General features: G+C 43.1%; 2 protein-coding genes across 7 annotated transcripts in view; one reads left to right on the top strand and one right to left on the bottom strand.

The window, feature by feature from the left end:
* The window catches only part of MAF (MAF bZIP transcription factor), a 398,116-nt gene extending 385,273 nt beyond the window's left edge, over window positions 1-12,843 (top strand). Inside the window, exons 3-4 of one of the 5 annotated variants that reach the window (XR_002957804.2) lie at window positions 2,564-4,234; window positions 5,858-12,843. The gene's annotated coding sequence lies outside the window, so the exon portion shown is untranslated. Of the gene's footprint in view, window positions 1-2,563 lie in introns of all 5 variants that reach the window. The other 4 variants (XR_001751902.3, XR_002957803.2, XR_002957802.2 and 1 more) reach the window with 4 other exon arrangements.
* The window catches only part of WWOX (WW domain containing oxidoreductase), a 1,113,014-nt gene continuing 1,101,099 nt past the window's right edge, over window positions 2,798-14,712 (bottom strand). For both annotated transcript variants that reach the window (NM_016373.4, NM_001291997.2), the window contains one exon: window positions 2,798-3,857. In NM_016373.4, coding sequence (NP_057457.1) covers window positions 3,669-3,857 — 189 coding nt within the window. In that variant the 3' untranslated portion in view covers window positions 2,798-3,668. The remainder of the gene's footprint in view (window positions 3,858-14,712) is intronic.

The following is a 14,712-nucleotide window of genomic DNA, read 5'->3' as shown; positions in this document are numbered from 1 at the left end:
TCTCGTGGCTTTACTTTCACTTCCACCAAATGCTTGAAGCATAACTAGAGTCAGACCCATAAAGTCACCTCTCTGATCAGCCTAAGATTTTAAGATGGTGCATCCATGGCCAGGCACAGTGGTTCATGCCTGTAATGGGAGGATTGCTTAAGGCCAGGAGTTCCAGACTAGCCTGGTCAACATAGCAAGACCCCATCTCTGTTTAAAAGGAAAAAAGATGGTGCATCCTACCAGAATGGATATAGTCAACTTATGGAAGGAGCAGTGGCACTGGTGCAGGCAATCTGCATGACCTTGAAATCAAACACTCCTGGGTGTGAACTGCAGCTCTATCAATTTATGAGCTGTATGGACAACAGCAGATTGACACTTCTTGGCCTCAGCTTTTTCATCAGTAAAATGGGGAGAAGGGGTGAACTGGCAAGACTGTAGTCATATTAGAAATCAGATGTAATAGCCAAGCATGGTAGCTCACACCTGTAATCCCAGCACTTTGGGGGGCTGAGGTGGGTGGATCACCTGAGGTCAGGAGTTCGAGACCAGCCTGGCCAACATGGTCAAACCCATCTCGACTGAAAATACAAAGATTAGCCAGGTGTGGTTGTGGGCACCTGTAATCCCAGCTACTCTGAAGGATGGGGCAGGAGAATCGCTTGAACCGGGGAGGGAGGTTGCAGTGAGCCAAAATCACGCCACTGCACTCTAGACTGGGCAACAGAGTGAGATTCTGTCTCAAAAAAAAAAAAAAAAAAAAAAAAAAAGCCAGGCACAGTGGCTCACACCTGTAATCCCAGCACTTTGGGAGGCTGAGGAGGGCAGATCACAAGGTCAGGAGTTCAAGACCAGCCTGGCCAACATAGTGAAACCCCGTCTCTACTTAAAATATGAAAAATTAGCCAGGTGTGGTGGTGTGTACCTGTAATCCCAGCTATTTGGTAGGCTGAGGCAGGAGAATCGCGTGAACCTGGGAGGTGGAGGTTGCAGTGAGCTGAGATCATGCCATTGCACTGCAGCCCGGGCGACAGTGGTAATGTAGCCTGCTTAGCACAGTGTGTGGCTCGGGATCATTGTCACAATGATGGAAATTATTTTCCTGAACATAAAGCCTAGTCACCCAGAATCATTCTTTCAGTGGTTATTTATTAAGTCAGTAAGTTTGCTGTGTGACAGGAGCAGTTCAAGGTACTGTGGCCAAGTTGTGAAGAAAACAGACAAATTTCATGGAGTTTCTTATAGTGGGTAGACAGAAAAAATAGACACATAATGTGTACAATAATATTAAGTGTTGTGGAGAAAAAATAGAGGGGAAGGGGAATAAGAATGGGGTGACACCATGAAGACAGGGATAACGTGAGCAGAGACTAAAAATCAGTGAGGAAGAAAGGCATGCTGGTTTCTGGAAGGAAAGCATTTCAGCAGAGGAAACAGCAAATATGCACCCCTTGAGTTGGGAGTGTGCTTGGCATGTTCGAGGAACAGAGGAAGACTAGAGTGGCTTCTAGTGGATAAAGTGCTGGAAGTTGAGATTAGAGAGGTAGCTGGAGACCAAATTATAAGAGAAGTAGGGTAGAAAAAAATTAACCTTAGTGAGCTGAGAAGCTGTATCAGTTAGCTTTTGCTGAGTAACATGTAATCCTGAAACTTAGTGGCTTAAAATAAACTTTTACTATCTTTTGCATTGCTGTGAGTGAAATGTGCAGTTTCTTCTCCTCTGAATTGGCACAGCTGGGGCTGGATAGTCTGGGATGGCCTCACTTACATGTCTAACTAACTAACTGCTGGATGCCGGTTCTGGGAGTGACTACGTGTCTCTCATCATCCAGCAGGCTAGCCCAGGAGCCGTTCCCTATGATGGAAGTTGCAGGGTTCCAAAGATCAACAAGGAAAGGCAAGCCCCAGTGCAAAGCACTTTCCAAATTGGCCAAGGCCAGTCACATGGCCAAAGTCAGAGGTCATATGGGAGGGGTGATCCCCTCCAGGTGTAGATTCTGAGAGTGGAGTTCTGACGGCTGCTTTTGCAAATGACAATAATGTCTGAAAAGTGACATTATCTGATTCATAGTTTCAAAGGTCCTGTGATAATAAGGATTACGTAAGGAAGACTATAGCCAGATGGGAGGATGTGGCAAGGCTATGGGCCACTGGAGGGCAATGGTGTTTGTTTGTTCGACTGCTCTGCACCACAGATGCAGAGGCACAGAAGTTCAAGACATTGTCTGGCCTGAAGCTGCCATGATCAGGAGGGGGAACAATGACACCCAGCCTCCACACCTTCCTGGTATTTCAGCAGAAGCATTTTCTCCGTCTTGCCAGAGTGGACTTTCTCATGTGCTTGCTGGAACGGGCTGGAAATCATGGTGTCCATGAGATGGGATGCGCAGATAAGAGCTTCTGCACAGCTCCCATTCTCAAACATAGAGATACCCGCTAATCACTAAGTACTTGCTAATTGCAGGGGAGCAGACCATTGAGGACTAAAATAACTCACTGTAAGTAAGTAATAACAAAACATCTTAAGGTGAAATGAAACAATAGTCATTTTTCTTTTTTCTTTCTTTAACAGAAAATATGCTGGCATGCTAATCGCGTGAGACAACTTGGCCCACGGACAGCCACAAAGCACAAAAACAAAACACAAACTCACTCAGAGAAGAAACAAGAATCGTGTTTTCCTGGCATCTACGAGAAGCGCTTTATTAGAAGCGCTTTATTTTTCCTCTAGATTTCTTTTCTAAAAAATGAAAAACAAAAACAAACTGAAACAAACATTTAAAGAAACAATACAAACTTCAGGTGATGATATTCAAGCATGTTCTTTTATTAAGCATAGGATGCGAGGCACAGCAGGAGGTTTAAGTACAATGTGAAAGCAAGAGAACTGAGACTGTGATTGACAGACAAAGGGATTAACTAACGTTTTATTCTCTGCCCCCCAAAATATCCTGTGTATTCTTAAGTATATACGCTTCCCTTCCTGCCTTTCAAGGTATCTAAGGAATGATTTGAAAAATTTGTTATAATCTCTAAAGAATTTTTTGCATAGCATTAGCAAAGGAGTCTATGACAAGTACTTTGCCACCTGGTAGTTCTGCGTATTCTACTCCCTCTGGGTGTCACTGTCATCCTCACTGGCTGGGACAAGGTTCTGAGATTTGTCTCCCCAGCAGTTGCTAAGCTGGCTCAGTCTTGGTCAGGATGAATGAAACAATTATCTCCTGGATCAATGCAGCAAGGAGCAGTGAACACTTGCTTTTTCTTCCCTAAGTAGGAGAAGGCCAGCCCCCGGCTGCAGTGGTGGCCGTGGTGGTAGCTGGATGGGACGAGGGGACCTCAGGCTATTCTATAACAGTAAAAGAAAGAGAATTGCTGGTGCTTCTCCAGGGAGATACGGAACCTACACACCAAGCAGGTTTTTACTTTCAAACAGGCCACCACCAGAAAGCAAAGAGACCTATGCCTAGCCCAGCCCCAGAAAAGTGATACTTTACCCCAGGAATTCCCTGCTTCCCATTGGTACTTAAGATTTTTCACTCTGTTGTGACTGCTCTTATTTCCTTTACTCTTGCGGATCTGTGTTGGAGGGACATTTGGAAGGGGCCCAGCCCTGGCACTTGCGTGAGGGGACACACACAGGGCGGGTGTGTGTGCCCATCCGCTCTGAGCTCCACTTAGCCGGACTGGCTGCCAAGCCGTTCTTGGATCAGCCTCTCGCTGAGCGCCCACAGGGTCCGGGCCGTCTCTTCGCTCTGAGCTTCTGGTGAGGGCATGCAGCGGCAGCAGTTGTTGAAGTACATCCCTCCCAGACCCTCCAGTTCTGGGACAGCAGCACAGTACACGGTGGTGGCAGCTCCCTGTTGCTGGAAATCCAAGAAGAAAGACAAAAAAAAATTTTAAGAAAAGGAGTGATGAGATGGCGTCATTTCGACTGCCTGGGCATTAGCAGGCCTCCCCCACCTGGTTCAGTTTCAGCTGGATCTTGGCATAGCAAAGGGTACTGGGCTGAAAGCACATGACTGTAAAAAGTATAATGTGACTATCCTGGAAAAACGAGTTCATAAACTCCGCTTGTAAAGCTGGTGTAACTTTTGACACCTCATACAGGGACAGGCTTGGAAAATAAATACACATATCAATACGTCGTGGCAGGCGCCTCTTCCACACAGAGAAAAAGATGGTATCCTTCTGAACGTGCAAGAACAAATTCATCCAACCCCTCAACTTCTCCATGTATAATGTAATTCGATACCAAATCGTTTGTAGAACCTTCTGTCTGACAAACCAACCACTCTTAATTGTGGTCCATCAGGTAGAAAACCCAAGTGGGGCTGCTGCCAGATCATCCCTTTATGCTTTGCCCACGGTGCTGCTAGGGGAAGGGTTGGCAATGTTGTGTTAAAACATTTAATGCACACACACACACACACACACACTCCTCACCATACATTCATACTTAGCACAAACACATAACACATTAATTCATCCAGATCCCATGAAAACCTTTTTCTAAATGTCATATTTGACCCAGATTTACAATGGGACCACAGGTAAGGGGGTACATTTCCTCCCAGCCCACTTCAAAATGTAAGTTGCAAAGAGTGCAGCTGATCACTTTCATTCACCTTTTGAGTAACAGTTGCGGCTGTGGCTAGGGACGTGTGCAGTGATGAGGCATCATATCATCCAAACTGACAGAATACTGTCAGGGATGCTATAAAGAGGGCAAGAAATCACTTTGCTTTGCAAGCCATAATTAAAAATAATAGGCTGCTGTTCAGAGGGAGACATGGTCGGCACGTCTCTAATTTAAAACCAATACAGTTTATCTGGCATCTTATGATTATTTATGTGTTTCAGAGCCCTAGCTGCATCCACTAATTTTCAGCTGATGAGAGGGAGAGGGGTTGCAAGAGAGGACCGGAAAAGGTAACTGAAGATAAGCTCGCCCCCACAAGGAAAACACTAAGGAACTTTGATTGTGGGGGAAATGGCTTTCCGACCCGACCCAAAGCTTATCATTTTTCTGCCCCTGCAGGGTTTACATTGTGACCATGCAGGGTGCTTACTGGAGGAGTTTCCCTCAAATGGTCTGGTTTGCAATCACTATGCTTGCATTCTAGGATCCCTGGGAGAGTCAGGTCCATACTGAGAAATAGGGTCCCAAGGAAGGTGTTACGACGTGAAGAATCTGCCATAAGGCAGACTTGGGTTTGTTGTTGTCATTGTTGTTTGGTTTTAGCTTCTTCAGTGTCAGGATATCTAGTAACAATGGAGTTGGTCTGAAAACTGAATGGTCAAATGCAGTCAAGTGATACGACTCTGGGCGGGGTGTGGACCGTGAGTGAGACAAAGACTTGGGTTTTGATAATAACTGGCTGCTTGATGATACTGGACAAGTTCCACTGGTCCTGAATTTGAATAACTGACATGACTTGAACTTAATAGTAGCTGGTTTGTTACCTCCCCAATCTCCCTCCATTATCATGCCCACTCCAAATAGCCAGATATTATCCTGGATTCAGCTGTTTCTTTTCCCATTGATTTGTGTGGCTCAAGTCTAATGGAAATGAGTTCATGTCATCCAAATTTCCTTTCACTGAATTATTATTCCTAATAACCCTGAGCTTAGCACCTGGCACATTTATCTAAACAACTTCAAGGGGTTTATCTGGCTCTTCTGCATCCCATGTGGGGAAAAGGGAAGCAGAAGTGCCTCTAAAGACAAATTGGAGAATTGAGATGCTCATCCAGCTAACTCAAGCCAAGTATTATTTTGGCCTGGAATCTTAGAGTTCTGGTGGAGATGGTGTTTTGTATCAACTTCCAGATATCTGTCATATATTTTCATTTTACCTTGCAGCTGCCAAAACGACCAGAGTGGCCAAGTGACTTGCCATTAACTCCCGAGTGGTGGGAGAATCCAGCTCACCCATTTCAAGTCCAGCCTCCCGCCCTCTATGCCACAATGGTTATACTATTCAGCATTCAAACGTCATGACAGACTGGCCTTTCACTGTTCTGCCAAGCGTGAGGAAAGACCAAAGCAGTCCGTTTGGGAAAGCAAAAAGCAGAATTCTTCCTAACCTGATAAAATATTTTGCCACTATGACCTACTGTAATGATACCACGTTGCACTCTTGCATTACTGGAATGGTATTTTTGCTAAGAAATTCTGCAGTCCCATTGATTCAGAATGCCATTGTTGCAGGAGCTGGGGACCTACCTTTTCCTTCCACGGAATCTAAAGGCAATTACAACTGGCTTCATTTCATGCCAACCTACATTTGGCTACAATGCTGAGAGCCATACCTTTTTGAAAAGCCTAACTTTTTATCAGGAGATGGCTTTGATTCCTTTGCCACTAGGCTTGGGGTGATTTACCATCTAAATTCCATCACAAGTGGCTCTGGCTTTGTAGAACACAGTACACAGGAGGGGCACCCGAAAGCAAAGACGACCTTCTCTACTCCAAAAATCAATCGTCCACCTTTGGCAAATTCTCCTTCTCAGATTCATGCTTGGTGCTCATGGGTACTCACTCTACTTTCCTCCCTTGCTGGACAATTAAGCAGTAACAATATCTTGTTGGTCCCATACACACCACACCTTTGGTCTCTTGGAGAATTTTCAGCCGTACCAATGGCAACCTCTGAGTGACATCTTAATATGATCAGATGTGATGACAGTTTAGTAACAGGTTCTCATTTTTGGCTCACCAGCTTTTCGGCCTACATATCATCAGAATAAGACTGAGGCACATTAGTGAAATCTCAATAGTAAACAAGCAGGTACTGCCAATAAAAGAGAAAGCATTCTTAAACTGATTAAAAAAAAAATTTAAAGAGCACTTTAATCACCATCAGATGACTTTCATTCATACCACCTTTTGGGGCATCAGTTCATAATGCAGAAAAGATGAAAGAGCCATCTAAAGGAAATAATGTTAACAACTCCGTTATAAAATATCTGAAGCAATACCTTGCCAGTTGTCATCAATGCTTACTGATCCATTGTGATAAATAATAATACCTTGACATACAAACACTGGCTGGAGCTATGGGTTCCCCTAAACGATTTTTTTTTTTTGAGAATCAATCATTTATCAGAAGCCTGTAGGTTGTATATGGTTGCTAATCATGGGAAACGGGGGAGGTGTCTATCCCGCAGCAATGGCAATGAGTTAGGTTGTTGACGACACAGGACTGAGAATTTCTGGGAAGCCCAGAAGAATCTTTTTAATCATGCCCGAATGCCATTTCCGATCTAGTCAAACATTTGTGAGCTGCCAGAGGAGAACTGTGCAATCAATCTTGAGAGTATATGTAAAATTACCCAGGACTCTTGTTTGGGATTAAGAGTATCTTGGTAATAAGGATTCATCATTCTCTTTCAAAAATCATCTGTCAGATTTGCAGCACAATCTTCAACTACAGAAAGGTGGGATTTAGAAAGCAGTTGCTGTTTATTTATAGTTGAGGCCCTCAGATCTAAATTATCCATCCTTCCAAAACTCGGTGTTGGGATGAAAATGTTAAGTAGCTGCTTTTCATCAACATTCATTTGATAACTGCTAGCCATCAATTTATAGTTGTCAGCACAGAATACAAATGCATATTGACTCCTTTAAAGGAAAGGGTACAGAGGTTTCTGATAAACAATATATGGTAAAGAAAAAAAAAGCACCCACATATTGATATTTGTAATGCATTGGTTAGTACTCTAATATAATACTCACAGGGACACATGTTACACCGTGTTTTGCTTTCAGGTTTTTCTATTTTAAAATGCATGCTCATTTAAAAGAAAGAGGAGATTCCTGTCTTAAAGTAGACTTAACTATGAGATATATAAAAAATAGACACAATATCATGGCATATCTATATATTCAATGATTGTGAGAGAGTAGATGTTCTAAGATTGCTTTCTTACAGGGACATTGCACAGCAAATGCTGAATTAATCCACTTATGCAAAAAGTAGAGTTATGAAAGGAATGAACCCTGGAAGTTAGATTAGGCTTGGAACACCAAGAGCAGGGAAGGAGAACAGCCCTTTTGAAGACGGCAGTGTTCCCATGACTAACGTCCCAGGACAAAGTGGTGATCTGAAGTGAGCAGGTTTGGCTAAAAGGAAAGACACATACCTCTTCAAACCCTGCCTACTTCCATTGTTACTCATCTGGTGTCTGTTGGACAAAGCAAATACTTCTCAAATGCAAAGCCAGCCACCTTATCCATTGACTCTGTGAATACACCACTAGGAACAGAATCATTTATCAGAGAGCTACATTTATCAGAGAGCTGCTGCGGTGGAGATGAGGGGGTGAGCCCTCATGTCACAGGTGGAATAGATGGCCGTCTACACGCCCTGTCTTTCCCTGTCTCCCAGTAACACTCCCCCAGGAGAGGCTATAACCACTCTCCCAGAACAGTGCAGAGGTCATCTCCAGATACCTCGGTGCTTGGGATACAGCCATTCCTCACAAACAATTACAGCTTCAATCTCTCATTGGAAACACAAATGAAAGCAAACTGCTCCAAAAGGCCACTTGTTCCCTACTCACTATCCAAGAGCAATCTTTTAGGGGACACATTTGCCACAAATTGCATTTGTTCATAAAGTAATGCAGCCTATACAGGAATGAGGCTCATAGGCCTCCCTGGCTAGGTGACCACACCAGTAAGTCACCCTCTTCTTCCACCGTGATACTTCTATAATGAAATTATACAATTCAATTTGGAATAAGTGCTAACCAACGAACACACCAACTTCCACCAAAATGATGGGAAGCAGCAGACGAGAACAGAGATGTCTACTCCAAAGTCCTCAGCCCTGCAAACTGCCCGGCTTTTTCAGTGAGTTGTAGCCAACGAGTACTATTCAAGTGACATCAATGACTAGCATTTATTGAGAGGTTACGATTTGCCAGGCTCTGCATGGAGAGCTTTGTAAGCATTGTTGCCTAACCCTCACAGAGCTCTATGAGCCAGGGACAGTTAGTATTTCCATTTATTTAGAGAGAAGCCTACCTGATATCAGAGATCAAAAGCAACTCGTCCAAAGCCATACAGATAATTACGTAGAGTGAGTGACTTCAGACTCCGTGTCCGTTGGTACATGAAACCTGCTCCCCAAATATGTGACACAAATATTTGCACGTGGCCCATTTCCTCATCTATGTCTTCCACGGGGCTCCGGCTTCCTATGCCTCTCTGCCTGCTCTGCCGCCTTCTCAGCCAGGCCATGTCTGGCCATGAGGTGATGCCCTAACATGGCCTAAAATGAAATGTGGGGGCTGTCGTGTGTTCACCCGAGAAATGTTAAAAGGAGATTTTTTTTTCCATTGATTTACTCATGGAGCTAAATTGAAATGATATCCATTTGGATGAACAAAAATGAAGACTCAGCACCCCCTTCGATGATCCAACAGCAAGTGACCCTTACTAAAAAGGTCGTCCGATTCAAAATGCCATCTCCAGGTGCCAGATTTGCAGAACTAAGAAACCTACTCTTTGATGATAGAATTTTTTCAAAGCACCGACATCCCATACAAGTGAAGTGGACACAACCCCCATCTTATCAGTTCCCACGCATGTAGGTGCGGGCTCTGGAGTGTTTCATCAGGTTTGCAGAGAAAATACTGATCCATCCCTCTGACTCCCTCTCCTCCAATGATTCCTAACACAGTCATTCCTACAAATTCCTGACAACTGACTCCCACAAAGGCCTTCAACAATCCAGCCTTAGACACATGCAAATACTTCCTGTAGGTATTGAAATGTAACTTTCTTCATAAACCTTTGGGAGTTTTGCTAACTCACAGGCTATTCTTAACCTTTATTATAGAAGAGGAATGCACTCAATTTCCCAAAAAGAAACAATGAAGATGATCAGGAAAGCAAATATTTGTTTTCAGGCTTTAGAAGTGTGAGAAAGTGTTCTGGAGAATCCATTTAGATCCCATGCCAACTCTTAGCCCTCCAGAAGAGAACATGCCCTCCCTAACAAATTAGACGTGGACAATGTGTTTAGATGTTGATCTTTTGCCACAAGGAAAAATATTTCTTTGCTAGCAACAGGTTCACAAAGGTAGAAAAACCTCAGGCTCCTTTTCAGTTGCCTCTCCCATGACAGGTGAAGAGTGTCATTCCCCAGGTGACACTAGGGACAGTGTCTATGACAGGGGCTTGATGGCCGTGGCTCAGAGAGAGTAAAGTGCCAGTCCATCACCATAAATGCAACAGGTTCAAGCACAGACCACAACCACAAATTACAAGGGACACCTTGAGAGAAACGCATGCAGGGGGAAGAGTGCCATGCAGCTTTTAAATGACAGGCACGTGCTCACAGGCTTCTGTTCAGAGAGAACCTGTGAGCTGTCCTGTGGCCTTTCCTGTTTACGGTGCAGCCATCCCAAATATGATGCCCCCAAATCCGAGTCTGGCTAGAAGGAAGTGTCATACAAAGGCCATGCCATTCTCCCTGACAAAAGACATGAGTTTCTTGCAAGAGCACTAAGAAGTTTTAAGAGGTGGACTCGAAGAGAGGAGAATGAATTGGAAAGCCAGCAAGAATGTGGCTCTTACTCCTCTGTGAAATATTTGCAGGAACGAGCCTGGAGACCAGCAGGTTCAGGATGGAAAGCTGGAAAGAATTCTTTCCTAAAACTTAAGTTTTAGAGAAAAATAGGCAGCCAGTCCCAACCACCCAAAGGCGTCCAAAGCCATGTTTGTTCTGGGAAGGCCAAGGCATGGGAGGATGTTAACTTGGGCTATCAGCAGGATTGAAGGGCAGGGTGACCTTGGTACGCTCTCAGGGCCTGTGTTTCCAAGTCGACAAACTGTTCTGAGCTTTTCCATGAAACGAGTGAAGCCCTTTTCATACCTCCTTCGTGTTCCAGAATTCTTGCCATCGATGTTCCAAAGGATCTGTGATAGATTTATGTCTAGCCTTAAATGGGACGAGTTGTAACATTCAGAATTATTTTATCTTTCTGAGACCTGCTATTATTGTGAGACCCTAGACATGCTTTGCTGGGGTTAGGGTGAGGGTACTCCTAACGAGGGAAGGAAAAAGAAACGGCTTCAAGGCAATCCATGTGGGTCATTACATGCACACTTGTTCCATCTTCCATTTGTGCCTGCCCAAAGCGTTCTAGAACTGACCGGACCTGAGAGGCTGTCTCATTAGAACTAAGAGAAGGTATTGTTGATGATGTCTTATATCCATGGAAGAATTCCCTGGGCATTCCCTCTGATGCTGCCTGGGATACCTACATTGCTCAAAGTACAGTTTCTTTATGAATAGGGATGAAACATCGCATTGGGGTATCTATTCTTCCATGGTTGGTTTGAAATAGCCAAGCAGAAGTGCCATAGAAATTTGCCAACAAAATAAGCATCTAACTGATAGTGTCGTCCTTCTACATGGAACAAATCTGATGGCATGTCACTGAAATTTTCCAACTGGGCCACCTTGATGCCCGTGCTAAAGGACTGCTGGGTGTTTATAAGATATAAAAGAAGATATTTAGTGTGTGTTTATTTGAAACATTTTACATTTTTACTCTACTTCTTTAACCTCTGTTATGGTTATAGCTAGCTCGTGTACTGCGTATAAATGTATGCATCTGTATTCGCCATCTACACCAAAATAAACCTTTGAAATTATTGCCAGGCAGAATTAATGAGCTCAGTTCTAACAGCGCAAAGAATATCTTCATACTACAGGTAAAACAAACAGCTTCTCCCTTCCCTTCTTCTGCACAGAATGGCTCTACGAAGTCTGCCTGCAAAATTACGTCTTTTAGAAAACCAAGTAGCTGGCTGTTTTGTGAGCAGGGAGGATTTCAGGACGAACCACAAACAAGCTGTTTGTTTAGATTTTAAGGTTGACAGTTCATTTACACGTATGCCCCATAAGTATTCTATAACATAGTCCTGAAAAAGCACTGAAGAAAAAAAAAAAAAAAAACACAAGGTCTCCGCTGGGGCCACATCATGGGAAGGAATTAACTCTTAACTCTGCCTTCCAGAAACAAATTAAGAGGATGTACTTTGCAATAATTCAGATCTCACAGGTAGGCCCCCAATGTCCAGCCCCGCTATTTCAAATCGGGCATGTCTGAGTTAGGTGTGTGGATTTCCATACAGAGCTCACTGGAACAGACCATTTCTCAGGTTCCAAGACGCTGGCCTTGTTAATATTTCATTTAGAACATACTGTGGAGAGTGTCTCATTTATATTACTTCCATAATTAATGGTGATAGCTTAGGCACTGCCTTTACACAGAGAGATCTCTTCACAGTGGTCGATGGGTAATGAGAAACAATAGATATTTCATTCACCAGCAGCGTGTTGCTAGTTAGTAGGAAATGATCGTGTGTGCTGTTGCTTTAATTGCCCGGGTAAATAATTCTGCCTCGGTGTTAGTGAGCATTTTAAAGCACTTGATGCCAATAGACTAGAAACAAACAAAAATTAACCTTGATTATGCAACACCTTAGCATAGAAAGTTACAAAGGTATGTCTTTTTTAAAGTTTGCATTCTATCATGCAAATATTATCTAAATATGCATGTGCTGACTACTCATCTACTGTATTTTAGGAAATACAATTAGGCTGCCTTTCTCTTCCCCTATGTAGACTGTAAATAACTGTAGATCTTTCTCTTGTTTCCCTATGTAAATATATGTAAATACTAACAAGCTATGCATGCTGCTATTCTAGGCAATTTCAGGTACTTTTATAATATGAAGGCATGTACTTGAACTCGTTTGTTAACAGAGGGGAAAAAACTCTCTCAAACTCTTTAAAGCTGAATAGAAATTAAAGATTTCTTCCTAGACTGTTGTGGCTTCTTTTGTTTGCCTTCTCTTGCCGGAATCGAGTGCCCCACTCCAGCTCTGACCTTCTCCCAGGAAAGACACACAGCACACACAGGCCCGGGAACAACAGTGGAAGGACTTGGCTTGGGCTTTTTCATACTTTCTTTGGGTTTCCTAAAAAACATCTAGAATCACAAGGTAGGTTTCTTTGGATCTTTCTAGCAAAAGAATCTCGACGGAATGTAATTCCTATTTGTTGTTCCTTTACCGTGTGCCTTATATCCCAAAACACTACTGAGGGTCCCGTCATTCCCATCTCAACAATACGGAGACTGAGTCAGGTCAAGGCCAATGACAAAAGTGACAACACTACTAAGTGCCACCCAAGCCCTCATTCTTTCCTGTATATAATAGGTCAGTAAACTACTTCTGCAAAGGGCCAGAGATTAAGTAATTTAGGCTCTGTGGCCCATATAATGTCTGGCACGATCACTCAACTCTGCTATTGTTGTGAAAGCGGCCATCGACAACGTCTACCCAAATGAACGTGTCTGTATTCCAATAAAACTTTATTTATAAAAAAAAAGGCACTGGGCCAGATTTAGCCGGCAGGCCATAGTTTGTCAATCTCTGCTCTACACACGATTAAGACTGTTATTAAAGACTGAGAGCATTTCCCTTTTTAACTTGTGTGTTTGATGGATCATGGAAATGATTTGATCAAATGAAAATTCTTCTTTTTCCTGCAAGTGTCATGAAATAAACAGGTGAACAAAAATGAAATCACCTGAGCTTATAAAACAGGCTGCCTTCCTCTGACAAATTACATTGTCAGGTTTCAATTTAGTTATCTTTTTGTTTTCATAAATAGGGATGGAAGAAAAAAGTCAGGAAGACAAAAGTGAAAAAAAACAGGAAAAAAGTAACTGAGCAACATTCACTCTTCAATGAGAGGAAGGAGGCTATTACCTCAGGTATCCATGGAAACCAAGCAGCGCATAAACTTTTTAATGGTTGGAAAACAGCGTTTGCGTTTGAAGATGTTTTTCCCAAATATGATGCTTCAGTGTAAATGCATTAATTGACAGTTTCCTTCGGGACTTTTTTATTGAAGTTTCCAAACTTAATTTGATGGCACAAGGGACTCTCTGGAGCCCTTGAAGAATGCTGCAAAGTTAGGTCTTTAGAAAACCGAGCCAGCTCAGGCATCGTGTACAAATCCAACTCTCTTGCAAAGCAAATGAAGAAACAGATCTTATTCCCTGTAAGTTTCCCATTTAAAAAAAAAAAAAAAAAAAGAAAAGAAAAAGGAAACCCTCTCTATTCAGCTAGGGAAGGGAGAGGCCCTTTCTAACCTCTATCAAGTGAGAATCAATATCATCTCTTCAGTCCTGGAGGGAGCTGAGAATCAGCAGGAGGAAGATAGATCCAGGTATTTTTGCAGATGGGGTGGCAATATGGGATGGTAGGAAAATCCCCTGTGCTGAAGCCAGAAGTCCTTACATTGGACTCCTGTCTTTGACACCTATGACAAGCCACTGAGCCTCAGTCTCCTCATCTGGAAAGTCGACATAATAATATAACCTTCATGTGTTTCTTGGAAGGATGAGTGATAACATTTGGCCATTTCCTGGGCACACAACAAGTACTAGTTCAAAAGCAGCTATAACTCTGATTTTTACAAGTTTAAAGCAGCTATAACTCTGATTATCACAAGTTTAAAGAAGGAAGCATACACATCAAAGTATAGATGAAGCCTGCACCTCCATTTTTTGGGCCTGCCGTATAGAGACTCGCCTGTCACCTGGCCCCAGCACCTCTCCTTTAGCCAGACCACTGAGCCCAGGTACAATATCAGCACAGAGGCACTTGCCAGTCCTTTCACCATT

The sequence above is a fragment of the Homo sapiens genome, chromosome 16 (assembly GCF_000001405.40).
Source record: "Homo sapiens chromosome 16, GRCh38.p14 Primary Assembly".
NCBI classification, from domain to species: domain Eukaryota; kingdom Metazoa; phylum Chordata; class Mammalia; order Primates; family Hominidae; genus Homo; species Homo sapiens.
The sequence above is the reverse complement of the archived record's forward strand: the minus strand, read 5'-3'. Positions and strand labels throughout refer to the sequence as shown.